The sequence below is a fragment of the Homo sapiens genome, chromosome 21 (genome assembly GCF_000001405.40).
Source record: "Homo sapiens chromosome 21, GRCh38.p14 Primary Assembly".
Taxonomy (NCBI): domain Eukaryota; kingdom Metazoa; phylum Chordata; class Mammalia; order Primates; family Hominidae; genus Homo; species Homo sapiens.
This window is the reverse complement of record NC_000021.9, coordinates 25,671,639-25,686,131: the sequence shown is the minus strand read 5'-3', so window position 1 is coordinate 25,686,131 and position 14,493 is coordinate 25,671,639. Positions and strand designations below refer to the sequence as shown.

General features: G+C 40.3%; 1 protein-coding gene across 4 annotated transcripts in view, besides 1 other annotated feature; it reads right to left on the bottom strand.

Annotated features, from left to right (window-relative positions):
• The window catches only part of JAM2 (junctional adhesion molecule 2), a 78,305-nt gene that overhangs the window by 31,431 nt on the left and 32,381 nt on the right, over nt 1–14,493 (bottom strand). For all 4 annotated transcript variants that reach the window (NR_072999.2, NM_021219.4, NM_001270407.2 and 1 more), the window contains exon 2: nt 2,184–2,249. Coding sequence is in view for 3 of the 4 variants with exons in the window: in NM_021219.4 (NP_067042.1) it covers nt 2,184–2,249 (66 nt within the window). In the remaining variant the exon portion in view is untranslated. The remainder of the gene's footprint in view (nt 1–2,183; nt 2,250–14,493) is intronic.
• Nucleotides 4,220–4,379: a silencer, noted in NCBI's record as "fragment chr21:27054065-27054224 (GRCh37/hg19 assembly coordinates)". NCBI's record gives its function as "represses an EF-1alpha promoter that drives an FKBP-Casp9 reporter gene in an ReSE screen in phorbol 12-myristate 13-acetate-treated (for megakaryocytic differentiation) K562 erythroleukemia cells {active_cell/tissue: K562(+PMA)}" and the evidence as "EXISTENCE:reporter gene assay evidence [ECO:0000049][PMID:32094911]".

Here is a 14,493-nt window from a genome sequence, read left to right as displayed (position 1 = left end):
TGGAGTGATGAAAACATTTTGGAACTAGGTAGAGGTGGTGGTTGCACAAAACTGTGAATGTGTCAAATGCCACTGAATTGTTCACTTAAAAACTACAAATCTCAGGTTATGTGAAATTCACCTTGATACATTTTTTAAAAAATAATGTAAGGTTAAAGAATATAATTTTGATGTCCTAACTCAGATATGATGGGAGAGGATATACATCCACTGCACCCAGTTGGACCCAGCATTAAGAACCTCCAAGAAAGTGAGAAGTGGAACTGAACTTCACTTCCTTGGTCCCTCAGGGACATCCTGGTCCATTTACCCCTCTCGCACTCTGTGCTCACCCTTGTGGCCTTTCCAGCTTCCATTCTGGCATCTCACCCAGCCCTGTTTATCCATCCTGGAGGTGCTCCATAGTCCCAAATTCCCTCAATCGTTAATTTCCTCTTCCCACCTCTCTCCGTTTAAAACTAACTCATACCAGAGTGTTCTATAGCTTAAGCATATAAAATGTTAGAACTTAAGAGAACTTAGTTAACCTAATAATTTTTTAAGTAATTTGTTATTAAATTACTCATTTTTTAAAATGATGAACTTTTTTTTTTTTTTTTTTTTTTTTGAGACATTCTCTCTCTTTGTTGTCCAGGCTGGAGTGCACTGGCATGGTCATGGCTCACTGCAGCCTCAAACTCCTGCACTCAAGTGATCCATCCACCTGCCTCAGCCTCCTGAGTAGCTGGGACAACAGGTGTGCACCACATGTCTGTCTAATTTGTTTGTTTTTTTGTAGAAACAGGGTCTTCATGTTTTCCAGGCTTATCTCAAACTCCTGGCCTCAGGAGTTTGAGATTACAGGCATGAGCCACCACTCCCAGCCAGGACTGATTCTTACTACAGCATATTTTTACTTAACAAGCACACATAATTCATATTATGTGTTAGGCACTATTGAAAGCACTATGTAAATATTAACTCATTTAATTCCCCCCACTCCAGGCCTTTACTTCAATCTTTGTCTCTTTCCTTCAAACCTATCTTTCTCCAGCTCCAGGAACCTAAGACATACCTGATGATGAGAGATCAGACATTTAGGATCTGTTTCTTAAATGTTAATAAGCTCTGGCCTAAACAAGTATTAAATTTAAGAAATAGTAATTCTTCTGATTGCCCAATATTATTAATTGTATAAAAGATAAAGGATCCTTTGGAAAAGTAGTAGGTGATCAATATTTGAAATAAACTTATAGGGCAGGTGTGGTTGTTCATGCTTGTAATCCCAGCAGTTTGGGAGGCCAAGGTGGGCAGACTGCTTGAGCCCAGGAGTACAAGACCAGCTTGGGCAATGTGGTGAAACCCTGTTTCTACAAAAAAATACAAAAAATTAGCCAGACATGGTGGCCTGTGCCTGTAATCTTGGGTGGCTGAGGTGGGAGGATCACTTGACCCCGGAGGTAGAGGTTGCGGTGAGCCGAGATCATGCCACACTGCACTCCAGTGTGGGTGACAGATGGAGATCCTATCTCAAACAAAATAAAGCAAAACAAAACAACAACAACAACAATGAAAGCTTATTAAAAAGCCCATATATAGGTTACTAGTTTCTTTTGACAATTTTTTAACTGTGGCAAAATAAACGTAAAATTCACCATCTTGACCATTTTTAACTGTATAGTTCAGTAGTATTAAGTATATTGTTGTGCATATAACAATCTCCAGAACTATTTTATCTTGCAAAACAGAAACTTTATGCTCTTAAATTAACTCCTCCTTATAAACATTTTTAAGAAGCTAAAATAGATAAGAACATGGTACCCCAAAGTAAGCTATATTAACATCACCTTAAATACACAGAGTGGAGTTTGAAGTGTTCATTTCTATGTATCATATCTAGCTGGCTAGAAACTTTCCAAGCTCTCCATCTCCCAGTTTCACAAATTAGATTTGCTTTGTGCAGATAATTTAAGTTATAGGAGACCTTCTTTGCACATCCGGTCTTTTATTGAATATCGAAAATTTCCACTGAGGAGGTGGAGTAAATGTTCTTGAGGTGGAGTCAGCATGAAGCAGCATTTCAGGCAGAGGAATTAGTAGAAGGTAAGGCAGAGAATCCCAACAAATAGAAAATAACATCACACGAGTCACTCTCGTGAGTTATTTAAACAATACAGCCTGTGAAAATCAGTAAGATACTGTACCTTGGTACTCTACTGCTGTGACTACTTGTTGGTCTTTTGGGGCAGAAAACCCATAGGCCTTATGATCTGAAAGATTAAAACAGATAGGATAATTAAAATTATACAAAAGTTCATTTTCAAATGTCTGAATGGGATGCAATAGTCAAGAAAACTGTCCTAAAGTTTGGTGACAAGTTTACCCAATTCATAACACATAGTTTTAAAGGATCAAAATAGGAAAAAGCAAATGAAACTATACATGTTTATTTTCTAGATTGTAGCTTTGGCCTTTAAGCATTTTCCAAAGTAGAATCCATGCATCTATTTGGACCCCACCCCAGACAACACACTCCTGCCAGCCCGATCATTGAAAAATAACTTACATCCTTAATTCAGCTTAATATGCAATCTAGTGTCACACGGTATTGCCCCACAAATAAAAGCTAATTCTCTTTAGGCTTATTTAAAAGTATAAATAGCTTTATGAATTTATCCTTGACAATACCCATGTCATATAGAAATGAGTCATTTTACATACTTTTGATGAAATTTGTATATATATATAATAAATGTATATAAGCTGTATATGAAATTATGATGAAAAATTCAAGCAGAACATCTTTATTTTTTTCCCCAAAACATTTCAATGATTTTTGAGAGCCGGTCTATAGACTGAAGTAACTGACTGTGGTGGCTACCACTACTGTGATCTAATAGTTACATGACGCTGCTGTTGCTTATTATCACTCCCTTAAACTAACACAGAAATTTTCATTTAAAAAGGCACCTTTGATACAGATAGGAGACAGGAAGTACTGGGTAGAAGAAGGCAGTTCCCTGGCAAAGGCCCCACCCTCAGGCCTGGAGACCCGTGACCCTCAAAGGGGACAGGCATTCCTGTTTTCATGCCCCAAAAGTTGCCTTTTGTCCCACCATGCCCCTGTCCTGTACCTATATAAACCCCAAATCCCAGGTTCTAGAAGCAGATGAGCAGGCGAGGAGATGAGGAGACAAGCAGACAAATGGCGGAACAACAGGGCAAAGAAAGATAGATGAGGAGAGACGTCTGAACACCGAGAGGAGTTCGACTGGGGGTGGTCAGAGAAGTATTCGGCCTCTGGATGGCCAAACTCCAGGAAAAGACCATCTTCCCACTCCATCCCTTCTTCCAGCTCCCCATCCATCCTGCTGAAAGCTACCTCCACCACTCAATAAAACCCTGCATTCATCCTTCAACCCCGTGTGTGACCCGATTTTTCTGGGATGCTGGGCAAGAGCTCAGGATACAGAAAGCTGTCACACTGGCCCTCGGCCCATGCGAAAAGGCAGAGGGTCCGTTTAGCTGGTTAACACTCAGGCCATCTGTGGATGGCAAGGCTAAAAGGGCACATTGTAACACACACCCACATGGGCTCCTGCAGCTGTCTGTCTGCATGCTGCCCCTCCCCTCAGGGATTCAAGCAGCGGTGGCTACAGAACAGGTGAGCCACACCCCTGTCGCACGTCCTGCGAGGGGGATCAGGGAACTCTCCCATTTCACCTTCACATACTTGCTTTTATGCTGTAAAATTCAATATTCAAAATAACCTGGTGTGGTAGGCATTATTAGTACTAAAGAAGAAAGTATCAGAAAGTATCAATATAACTTTCTAATTCCGTCTTTGATCTACATCACTTTCTTTATGGATGTCATTCTATACTCCAGTGTAATGACCACGTTTAAAAATAATTTAAATACTTTCCTATAAGTATACATATCTAAAATATAAATGCTACAAGTGCAAGTCTGTCGCCTGTTATAGTCTCTGAAATTAACGCAAACACTCAGAACAGTGCCTGGCATAAAGCAAGACACAATAAATGTTTGTTGAATAAATGAGCCCATTCCTTATTGTATACTAATGAGAAAAGTCCAGTAAATGAGGTCGGATCAAACTGATACTAAGGAAGAGTTCCTGAAGGCAAGCAATTCTTTTTTTCTTTTTTTTGAGACGGAGTCTCGCTCTGTCACCCAGGCTGGAGTGCAGTGGCACAATCTCAGCTCACTACCAGCTCCGCCTCCCGGGTTCACGCCATTCTCCTGCCTCAGCCTTGGGAGTAGCTGGGACTACAGGCGCCCGCCACGACGCCCGGCTAATTTTTTGTATTTTTAGTACAGACAGGGTTTCACCATGTTGGCCAGGATGGTCTGGATCTCCTGACCTCCTGATCCACCCACCTCAGCCTCCCAAAGTGCTGGGATTACAGGCGTGAGCCACTGTGCCCGGCCAGGCAAGCAATTCTTTGGGGAAAGTATTGTAAGTATACAATATTGGATTGGTATTAATTGTTTCAAACTCAGAATAATGCAAAGCATTATTGTTGGTTGATATGGTTTGGCTGTGTCCCCACTCAAATCTCATCTTGAACTGTAGTTTCCATAATCCCCATGTGTTGTGGGAGGAACCTGGTGGGAGGTAATTGAACCATGCTGTTCTCGTGACAGTGAGTGAGTTCTCACGAGATCTGATGGTTTTATAAGGGGCTTTTCCCCACCTTCACTCTGCACTTCTCCTTGCTGCTGCCATGTGAAAAAGGATGTATTTGCTTCCCCTTCTGCCACGATTGTAAGTTTCCTGAGGCCTCCCCAGCCATGCTGAACTGTGAGTCAATTAAACCTCTTTCCTTTATGAAGTACCCAGTCTCGGGTATGTCTTTATTAGCAGAGTGAGAACAAATACATTGGTCATCTCAAGTAGACAATTTAGGCAAAACAATCCAACTGCTGTCCTTCGTTATTCACCCAAAAAATTATACATGATGTAAGAATGAATTAAGCCTATCATGAAAATCTAAAGAAGGTTATTTCTCGACTATATATTTCTATAGTTTACTTGAAATGCTATTTCTCCACTCATGCTACCATCTGTTCTCTGTCTTCCTGTGGTCTACTGACCCTGTTTTCACCAAGACGAAAATGACCTATCTGTTGGCATATCTAACGGACACTTTTCAGTCTGTATCTTACCTGACCTCTCTATGACATGTGACTCTGTTGACTCCCTTGTATTCTGTAACTTGATTCTCTCCTAGTCTTCATCCTTCTGTTCTGATCCTGGTGCTTCATTCTGTCTGCTTTGTGAGTTCTTCTTCCTCCTCCTTGTTCTGCCCATCCATCCATCCATCCATCGATCGTCATCCATCCATCCATCCATCCATCCAGAAACTGCTTTTCTGACTAAACTACCTCCTTTTTATGGAGTATTTTGTACTCTCATTGACCCAACTAGCATTTATTTGCTAAAAAGTCATAACTCCACATCTCCAGCTCCAATCTGTCTCTTGAAATTAAATTTGTAAGCCCAGCTTTCTGCTGGACATCTGTATTTCCATTTCCCACAATTACCACAAACTCATAGGCAAAACTGATCAGCTTGCCCCCAAACTTTGTCTTATTTTTACAAATCCCATCTCTATGTAAAGCATCACATTCCATGTGGCCACTCACACCAGAAACTTAGGTGCTGCCCATGATGCACCCATCCTCTCATCCCTTCATTCATCAGCTTCCATCTGCAGACTAAGAATTGTGAGTCATCCATGAAAATGTTCTGAAGTATTTTTCCTTCCATCTCTTTCCCATCTCTCACCTTTATGCCACAAAGTGCTCAGGGAAGAGATATGGACAGCCAAACCTGAGAGAGAAAAATAGGGTATGTTCTGCCTTTCCACATCAAAAGTCCTAGCCATTAGATTAATGGAAAACATTCACAATTTAGGCAAACATTTAAGAGAAACCATCATGAGTAAATTACACCTGCTTTCCAGACTTAGAGTACAGAGAAGGAAGTAACTTAGAGGACAAGGACCTTGATGGACCCTTGAGAAAGGATAATAATAGCTAACATTTATTAAGCACTTGGCGCTTTACAAGTATTAACTCATTTGACTCTTACAATTCTCTGTGGCAGGGTACCATTTGTACTCACATTTTTGAGGGTGGGAAAACTGAGGCACAAAGAGAGTAAGAAACATGGCCATGATCATAGAAGAAGTAAGCGGTGGCATTTGGCTTTGGACTCAGTCAGTACCTGAAGCCCACATAGTTAATTACTGTGCTATACTAGGCCCACACCGTGATCCCCGCAAGCTGAACACTAGCAAGGATTGCAGATTAACAAAGATTCCAGGTGGAAAGTTTCATTGGTCTAATGAAGACAGGAGAGTTTGAGAAATTGGTGGTTAGAATGAAGGCAAAAGACTGGCTCTGAAGCACAAAAGGAAGGTGGAAGCTAAGAGGCTGATCTAGGAAAGTAGGACACCAACGTAACCCCAGAGGGGAGGTCTAGGTGAGGGTTTCTTCATCTTGACACTAGTGATATCTGGCACTCAATCATTCTTTGTTGTAGGGGGCTGTCCTGTGCACTGTAGGATGTTTTGCAGTATCCCTGGCTTCTACCCACTAGATGCCGGTATCACCATGCCCCCAAGTGATGACAACTAAAAATGTCCCTAAATAGTAAATGTCCCCTGAGAGATGGGTGTAAAGAAATCACTCCTGGTTGAGAACCATTGCTCTAGACTTAGACCAGTTTGAACAACCAGGAACAGGAATAAACCAATAGACTATAAAGAATGGCAAAGAACCATGAATTCTAGGATTTTGAAAAGTTTGTATAAAATCAGAATTGTGTAACTATGAAAGAGAATTGATTATACTCCTGGAAAGGAGAGAGAAATCTTTCATATGACATGACAACTCTTCTTTGATTTATTCATCTCTATATATCAACATGTAAATTAGTCTTCCATTGTGCTAGATTTTATCACTCTTAAGGAGCACACGCTATTCTGGAGAATTTCTTTTTTCCCTTAAAAGCCTGGACAGCAAATCTAATTGTGAAGTTAAAATTTGCAGAACTACTTTGAGAGGCCAAGGAAGGAGGATCACTTGAGGCCAGGAGTTTAAGACCAGCCTGGGCAACATAGTAACATCCCCCATCTCTACAAAAAATTTTTAAAAATTATCTGGGTGTGGTAGCACCTGCCTGTAGTCCCAGCTACTTGGGAGGCTGAGGCAGGAGGATCACTTGAGCACAGGCGTTTGAAGCTGCAGTGAGCTATGATCGCACCACTGCACTCCAGACTGGGCAACACAGTGACTCAAAATATATATTTTTTTAATTTGCAAAAGTCTGTGGGACACAAATTACTAGATTTCTAGTATAACAGGAAAACCAGTGATATGCAGGTTCAATAGCTCTAAATGGCAAACATATTCAATAGGGAAACTGGCAAACGTGGTGTCTATGTGAAGAGTACAGGACTGAACTGATCCTTTCTATTGACAGCTGTAAATATGTCTGTAGAAAGCAGTGACCCATGTGGCTCAATCTTAGAGAGGTGTCAAGTCCACCAGGGAGTCATTTCAAAAGAACTCTTTTGCTTGTATATTTCAAGAACCATGAAAGGGGTCCATGCAATCTTTTTAAATATCCTTTTCCACACACTTTGATCACATAGCAGCTGTTCTTTCTTTTCTCTTCCCCCATATCCCTTTCTTCTCCTGCATTCCTTTATTTCCTAGCTTCTCTTCTGCTTCCCACATGTTATAGACTCCAAAGATAGAGTCTGAATCTTCAGAGAGCAGAGGAAGGAATGAGACAGGAGACCAAGCCAGAATCCTCTTCAGTGAGGTAGGGAAGACGGGACCTACCTTGTTGCTTTACTCCTACTTTTATTTATTTTTTATTTTTTAAATTTTTGAGACTGAGTCTCGCTCTATTGCCCAGGCTGGAGTGCAATGGTGCAATCTCGGCTCACTGCAACCTCCACCTCCTGAGTTCAAATGATTCTCATGCCTCAGCCTCCTGAGTAGCTGGGATTACAGGCATGCGTCACCACACCCGGCTAATTTTTGTATTTTTAGTAGAGACAGGGTTTCACCATGGCTGTTCTCAAACTCCTGACCTCAAGTGATCCACCTGCCTCGGCCTGCCAAAGTGCCACCGCGCCTGGCCTACTCCTATTTTTGATGACAAAATCTCTGAACATTTTTGCCAGTGATTCCAATGCCAAACCATTGTTCTGTGAAACTTTCAAAGTATACTTTGAAAAAGTCTGTTTGTCTCCTTTAACACTGTGTGAATTAATGCCCTCGGAGAAACTCTACTTATGACTGACAATTCTTGTGATTTCTGAAATATTTTATTACACTTTTTAGAGAAAACAATGAAGACTCAAATTCCCTGAAAACCAGTCGAGGAAAACCTCGGGGCAAAATAGGGAAAGATAATCTTTGTTCCCTCTGTATCATCATACCTTTGAACTTTTCAAACATCACACTGCCTACTGAGAATGTTTATTTTCTTCAGTAGGTTCTGGCCTTCCTTCATTTCAGGCAAACTTTAGTACACTCTGAGATTATAAGATTTAGGAACTGGGTTTCAGGAATCATTGAGAAAGAAAATCATTTTCTCTTTCTCAATTACAGTTTTCTACTTGTTAAAATTTCCTTTAAGAAACATTTCTTAAATTGTCAAAAATTACTATAAAATTTCTGTGAAAAATAACAGCTGTTAGCTTCAGGAATTTTGTTAATTCCCTTGTACATTTTTTATGTGTATATTAATATTTGAACAGAAAAACGATGTATCACAGATGTTAAAAAAGAGGATTAGTTGAATTGGCAAAATTATGTAGGCAAAAAATTATAAAGGGAATTAGCTTTAATAAATTAATTATCGGTAGTATTTCTTAGTAGCTGAATATTTATTTCCTTTTTTTTTTCTTTTTGTGTGTATAAATTTAAGGGGCACAAGTGCAATTTTGTTACATGGGTATATTGTGTAGTGGTGAAGTCTGGGCTTTTAGTGTAGCCGTCATCCAAACATACATTGTACCTATTTTTGTGATTTTAAGTATCTTCTCCTTCTAGCTACCTTTCTTCCTCTAATTCTATTTACTTCAGGGTTTACCAACAAATTAAGTAAAAATATTTAAAATGTATGGTCACTTATGTGGAACTTATTTGAACAGAAAGCTCTGAATCTTTAAATTAAAAAAATTTATAAGATTTCTACCTTGTTTTAGCCTTTCTAGTCTTAGAGTTCCTTTTTACAAAACTTGTACCTAATAACTCTTTTTATAAAAACAAAATGTTGGATTTTATATCAGCATATCACTAGCAGATGTTAGGTATAGCCCCTGTTGGCTGCATTCTTGAAGTGATTTTTATTTTTTCTTCACTTTTCCAGAACAAATTAAATAGGAAAATAAACAAAAGAAAATGGTCATGTAGGCCTGCTGGTTGAGGTCAACAATTGTCTTAAAGTTAGCCTCAGAACATCTTTAACAGTTATGAACATGTTCCAAAAGCACTGGCAGAAGTTCATAAAATAAGGTGAAGAGATGATTATTTTCATAACTGCTAACAACTCCAAGTCAAATAATTCCCAGTCAAATGAAACCTTTTGTGTTTCTTTTCCTCCCAACTTTAAAAACAAAAGTTTTTGTATTCTCTATTACTCATCTAAGATAGTCTGGTTTGACTAAGAATATATACTTTATATTATGACAATTTTAAAATTACTATAAAGGTGTTATTTAAATTAACACTTTTAATTGAAAACATGACTAGGAAAAACTGGAGAAGTGTTACATAAGTTGTTTTTTTTTTTTCTTTTTCTTTTTTTTTTTTTTTTTGAGACGAGTCTCTCTGTGTCACCCAGGCTGGAGTGCAGTGGCGTGATCTTGGCTTACTGCAACCTCTACCTCCTGGGTTCAAGTGATTCTCCTGCCTCAGCCTCCCAAGTAGCTGGGACTACAGGCATGTGCCACCACACCTGGCTAATTTTTGTATTTTTAGTAGAGACGGGGTTTCACCATGTTGGCCAGGCTGGTCTCAAACTCCTGACCTCAAGTGATCTGCCCACCTTGGCCTCTCAAAGTGGTAGGATTACAGACGTGAGCCACTGCACCCGGCCTGAAGTTTTTTGTTTGTTTTAAATGTATAGTATCACATTATCATGTATAAAAGCAAATTATAAAAAGTATGGATATCAGTTATATCATAAGTTTCATAAAAATAAAAATTTATGGCCATGTGGTTTTGATAGTTACTGAAAGACAATTATTATACTGATATGGTTTAGATCTGTGTCCCACCCAAATCTCATGTTCAGTTGTAATTCCTAATGCTGGAAGTCGGGCTGGTGGGGGGTGATGGGATCATGGGAGCAGTTTCTCATGAATGGCTTAACACAATCCCCTTGGAACTGTTGTCATGATAGTGAGCGAGCTCTCCTGAGATCTGGTTGTTTAAAAGTGTGTAGCCCTTCCTCCCTTCCTCCCTTCTTTCCCTCCTTCCCTCCCTCCCTCCCTCCTTCCTTCCTTCTTTCCTTCCTTCCTTCCTTCCTTCCCTCCTTCCTTCCTTCCTTCCCCTCCTTCCTCTCTCTCTCTCTTTCTCTCTCTCTCCTCTCTCTCTTTCTTTTTCTGAGACAGAGTTTCCCTCTGTCACCAAGGCTAGAGTGCAATGGCGCCATCTTGGCTCACTGCAACCTCTGCTTCCCGGGCTCAACTGGTTTTCGTGCTTCGGCCTCCCGAGTAGCTGGGACTACAAGCATGAGCCACCATGTCCTGTGAATTTTTGTACTAATAGTGGAGATGGGGTTTCACCATGTTGGCCAGGGTGGTCTCAAACTGCTGGTCTCAAGTGATCTGCCCACCTCAGTTTCTCAAAGTGCTAGGATTACAGGTGTAAGCCACCGCGCCTGGCCAAAAAGTGTGTAGCACCTCCCCACTTTCTCTCTTGCTCTAGCTCACACCATGTGAGATGCCTGTCACACCATGTGAGACGCCTGTGCCCCCTTCGCCTTCCTCCATGATTGGAAGCTTCCTGAGGCCTCCCCAGAAGCAGAAGCCACTATGCTTCCTGTACAGCCTGCAGAACCGTGAGCCAGTTCAACCTCTTGTCTTTATAAATTACACAGTTTCAGGTATTTATTTATTTATAGCAGTGGGAGAACAGATTAGCACATATACTAACAAATATAAAAAGTTGCACAGGGTTGGCATTGACAAATAAAATAATGCCACCCAGTATTTATTATGGATAAATATGTATATTAATAGAAAGTAACCCAATGAGGTAGGAACTAATTTGGAGCTAGATATTATGGTCATCTATCTCATTATCGTCTAACCATACTAGATTTAGAGAGTAGGGGAGAAAGAAAAAGAGGCAGACACATGTCTTTACAGTCTCTCGAACTAGACAATCTGGCCCTTCCTCTTAATGAGACATTGGTATCCTATTTTCAGAGAAAGGGAAGCCACACCAAAATGCAAGGAGAAAGAAAAGACACACTTGACTTTAGAGTTACTGGTGGCTGATGTCCTGGTCAGTTTATGATCATCTTAGGAATTTAAGGATAATTTTCACTATGAATAAATTCTCCCCTTAAGAACCTAACTTCTAAGTAAGAAATGACTCCACTGCACTAAAATCCTCATTTGACAGATATATTAGTCTGTTCTCACACTGCTGAGACTGGGCAATTTATTTATTTTTTATTTTTTATTTTATTTTATTTTTTGAGGCAGAGTCTCGCTCTGTCACCGAGGGTAGAGTGTAGTAGCACGATCTCAGCTCACTGCAACCTCCACCTCCCAGGTTCAAGTGATTCTCATGCCCCAGCCTCCTGAGTAGCTGGGATCACAGGCACGTGCCACCACACCTGGCTAATGTTTGTATTTTTTAGTAGAGATGGGGTTTCATGATGTTGGCCAGGCTGGTCTCGAACTCCTGACTTCAGGTGATCCACCTACCTAGGCCTCCCAAAGTGCTTGGATTATAGGCGTGAGCCACTGCACCTGGCCAAGACTGCGTAACTTATAAAGGAAAGAGGTTTAATGGACTCACAGTTCCATGTGGCTGGGGAGGCCTCACAATTATGGTGGAAGGCAAAAGGCACATCTTACATGGCGGCAGTCAAGAGAGAATGAGAGCCAAGCAAAAGGGGAAACCCCTTATAAAACCATCAGATCGCGTGAGACTTATTCACTACAATGAAAACAGTATGGGGGAAACTGCCCTCATGATTCACTTATCTCCCACCAGGTCCCTCCCACAGCATGTGGGAATTACAGGAGCTACAATTCAAGATGAGATTTGGGTGGGGACACAGCCAAACCATATCAAGAGATATGACAATTGAGAGTAGTTAAATAAGTTGCTGGAGGTCACAGTGTTTTAGAAAGCAGGGAAGCCAAGATGTCCATCTGCTTAGTCTGCTCCACAGTCCCCTTTCCTCTCTCCCTGCCCTCAAATCAGTACAAGGCATTATGAGAAAGTAGCTCCAGACATAAGACCGCCAGACACACTGTAATGGCTTCATAGCCATTTTCAACCTTTAGGGTTGTAAAGATATTATTCAGAGAGTATACTACAAATTTCCATCTTAACAGAGACAGTGTTAATGAGTAAACGTTTATGGTGAATGAACTAATTTGAATAAACCGTGTATATTTATGCACAAAAGTTTTATGCCCTCTCCCTTTTCTGGTTCTTCGACAACTTAAGTATAAGAGGGACTACTGATGATTCAGAATTGAGGATAAAGTTATTTTCATATAAGTTACATGCATTACTAAGTTCAGGAAAACTTCCAGGGCATTCCATTGCACAAACAACTAGATTAAAATTTTTCAGTGATATTAGAAAGAGATGAAGTAATTAAATTAACTTCTCGAAGTAAAATAAATTCCCAAAAATTTCAAAAAAAATTGTCCTGCACATGTTCAATTGTGTAATGGTAGCCAGTGGTACAGGAAAACCATCAGTGGCTGAATGTCTCACCAGGCACTCCTCATCAGACATGAAGAAGCCATTTTAGGATTCTGTAGTCTTTGATTTTCCCCAAGTGACAATCTCAGCCAAACACAATTCATTTACCTGTGACATTAACTATAGATTTTAGATAGACGGCAACAGTCAATTCAAATCTAGTAGACTATCAAGACAAAATAAGGAAATACCCCTTCCAAAATGGATGCTAATAAGAGCCACATACTCAGTGGAAGCCATGGTTATTGGCCATTCTGTGTTCTAATTGCTTCTCCTTAAGAGTAAGTTACCAGAAAACAAAACGATGGCCCTAACACTTCATTAGTGGATAGTAGAAGAATATGAAAGATGTCAGACATCAAAACAGACACTTGGCGTAATGGCAAAGAGAGAAAGAACAACAAGCCTGGGTGCCCTCCTTACTAATGAGACATGGTCTGCGTTGTGTATAGGCGCACCTCTACAGCAGAGATGGTGCATCAGACTTTGAGAGCTATATAAATTAGGATTATTCATTGCTCTTTAATCTGAAATTGTAGTTACCTAACTCCTAGACCTAGATACAGCTTTTAAAGATTAAAAGTACAGAACCACTGCCAGCATTTGGCAGTTCTATTTCTCACTAGAAATATACTTACTCATTTACTTGTCAAATAAATCATTTTTAAGATTAGGTATTGTAAATCATTTCTCCAGAGTTTGATCAGCTCTGGGCAAGTGGTTAAAACTGAGTCTCTGAACCTGGATTTGAACTCTGGTTCTGAAATTCTGTGAGAATCTGTGCATCTCTGCACAAAACACCCTAACAGCTGATACACACCCAGATTTCTCAGGGGCTGTTTGGGTCAGGGATAGAGAAATAATTATTCCACAGGTATTTGTTACTTACTAAACCACCTGGATGTGGTGGCATGCACCTGTAATCCCAGTTACTTGGGAGGCTGATTTGGGAGTATTGCTTGAGCCCAGGAGTTTGAGACAAGCTTGGGCAACACAGCAAGACCCCACCTCAACAAAAAAAAAAAGAAAGAAAGAAAAAGAAAAATAGCTGCTTAAACAATGTATGTGACAAGATACATCACTACCATCTACTAAACTCTCTCCACCTCCCACGCTACGTAGATGTTTGGTATTGTTTCAAACTTCCTTTATATCTTTGTAGTTTTACTTCTCTGCTTTACTGAGTGAATTTCCACAATCACTAACAGTTTAATGTGTTTGGCAGAGATTAGCATAAAAAGAGATCAAAAGGATTCTCTAATATCACCAATCTGTTAAATGTATAATCTGCAAATGAGGTTATCTTAGCATTTCTCAAACAAAGAGAATCCTTTTCTGCTGGGCGCAGTGGCTCATGCCTGTAATCCCAGCACTTTGAGAGGCCAAGGCCAGCAGATTGCTTGAGGTCAGGAGTTCGAGACCAGCCTGGCCAACATGGTGAAACCCCATCTCTACTAAAAAAATACAAAAAATTAGCCAGGTGTGGTGGTGCACGCCTGTAGTCCT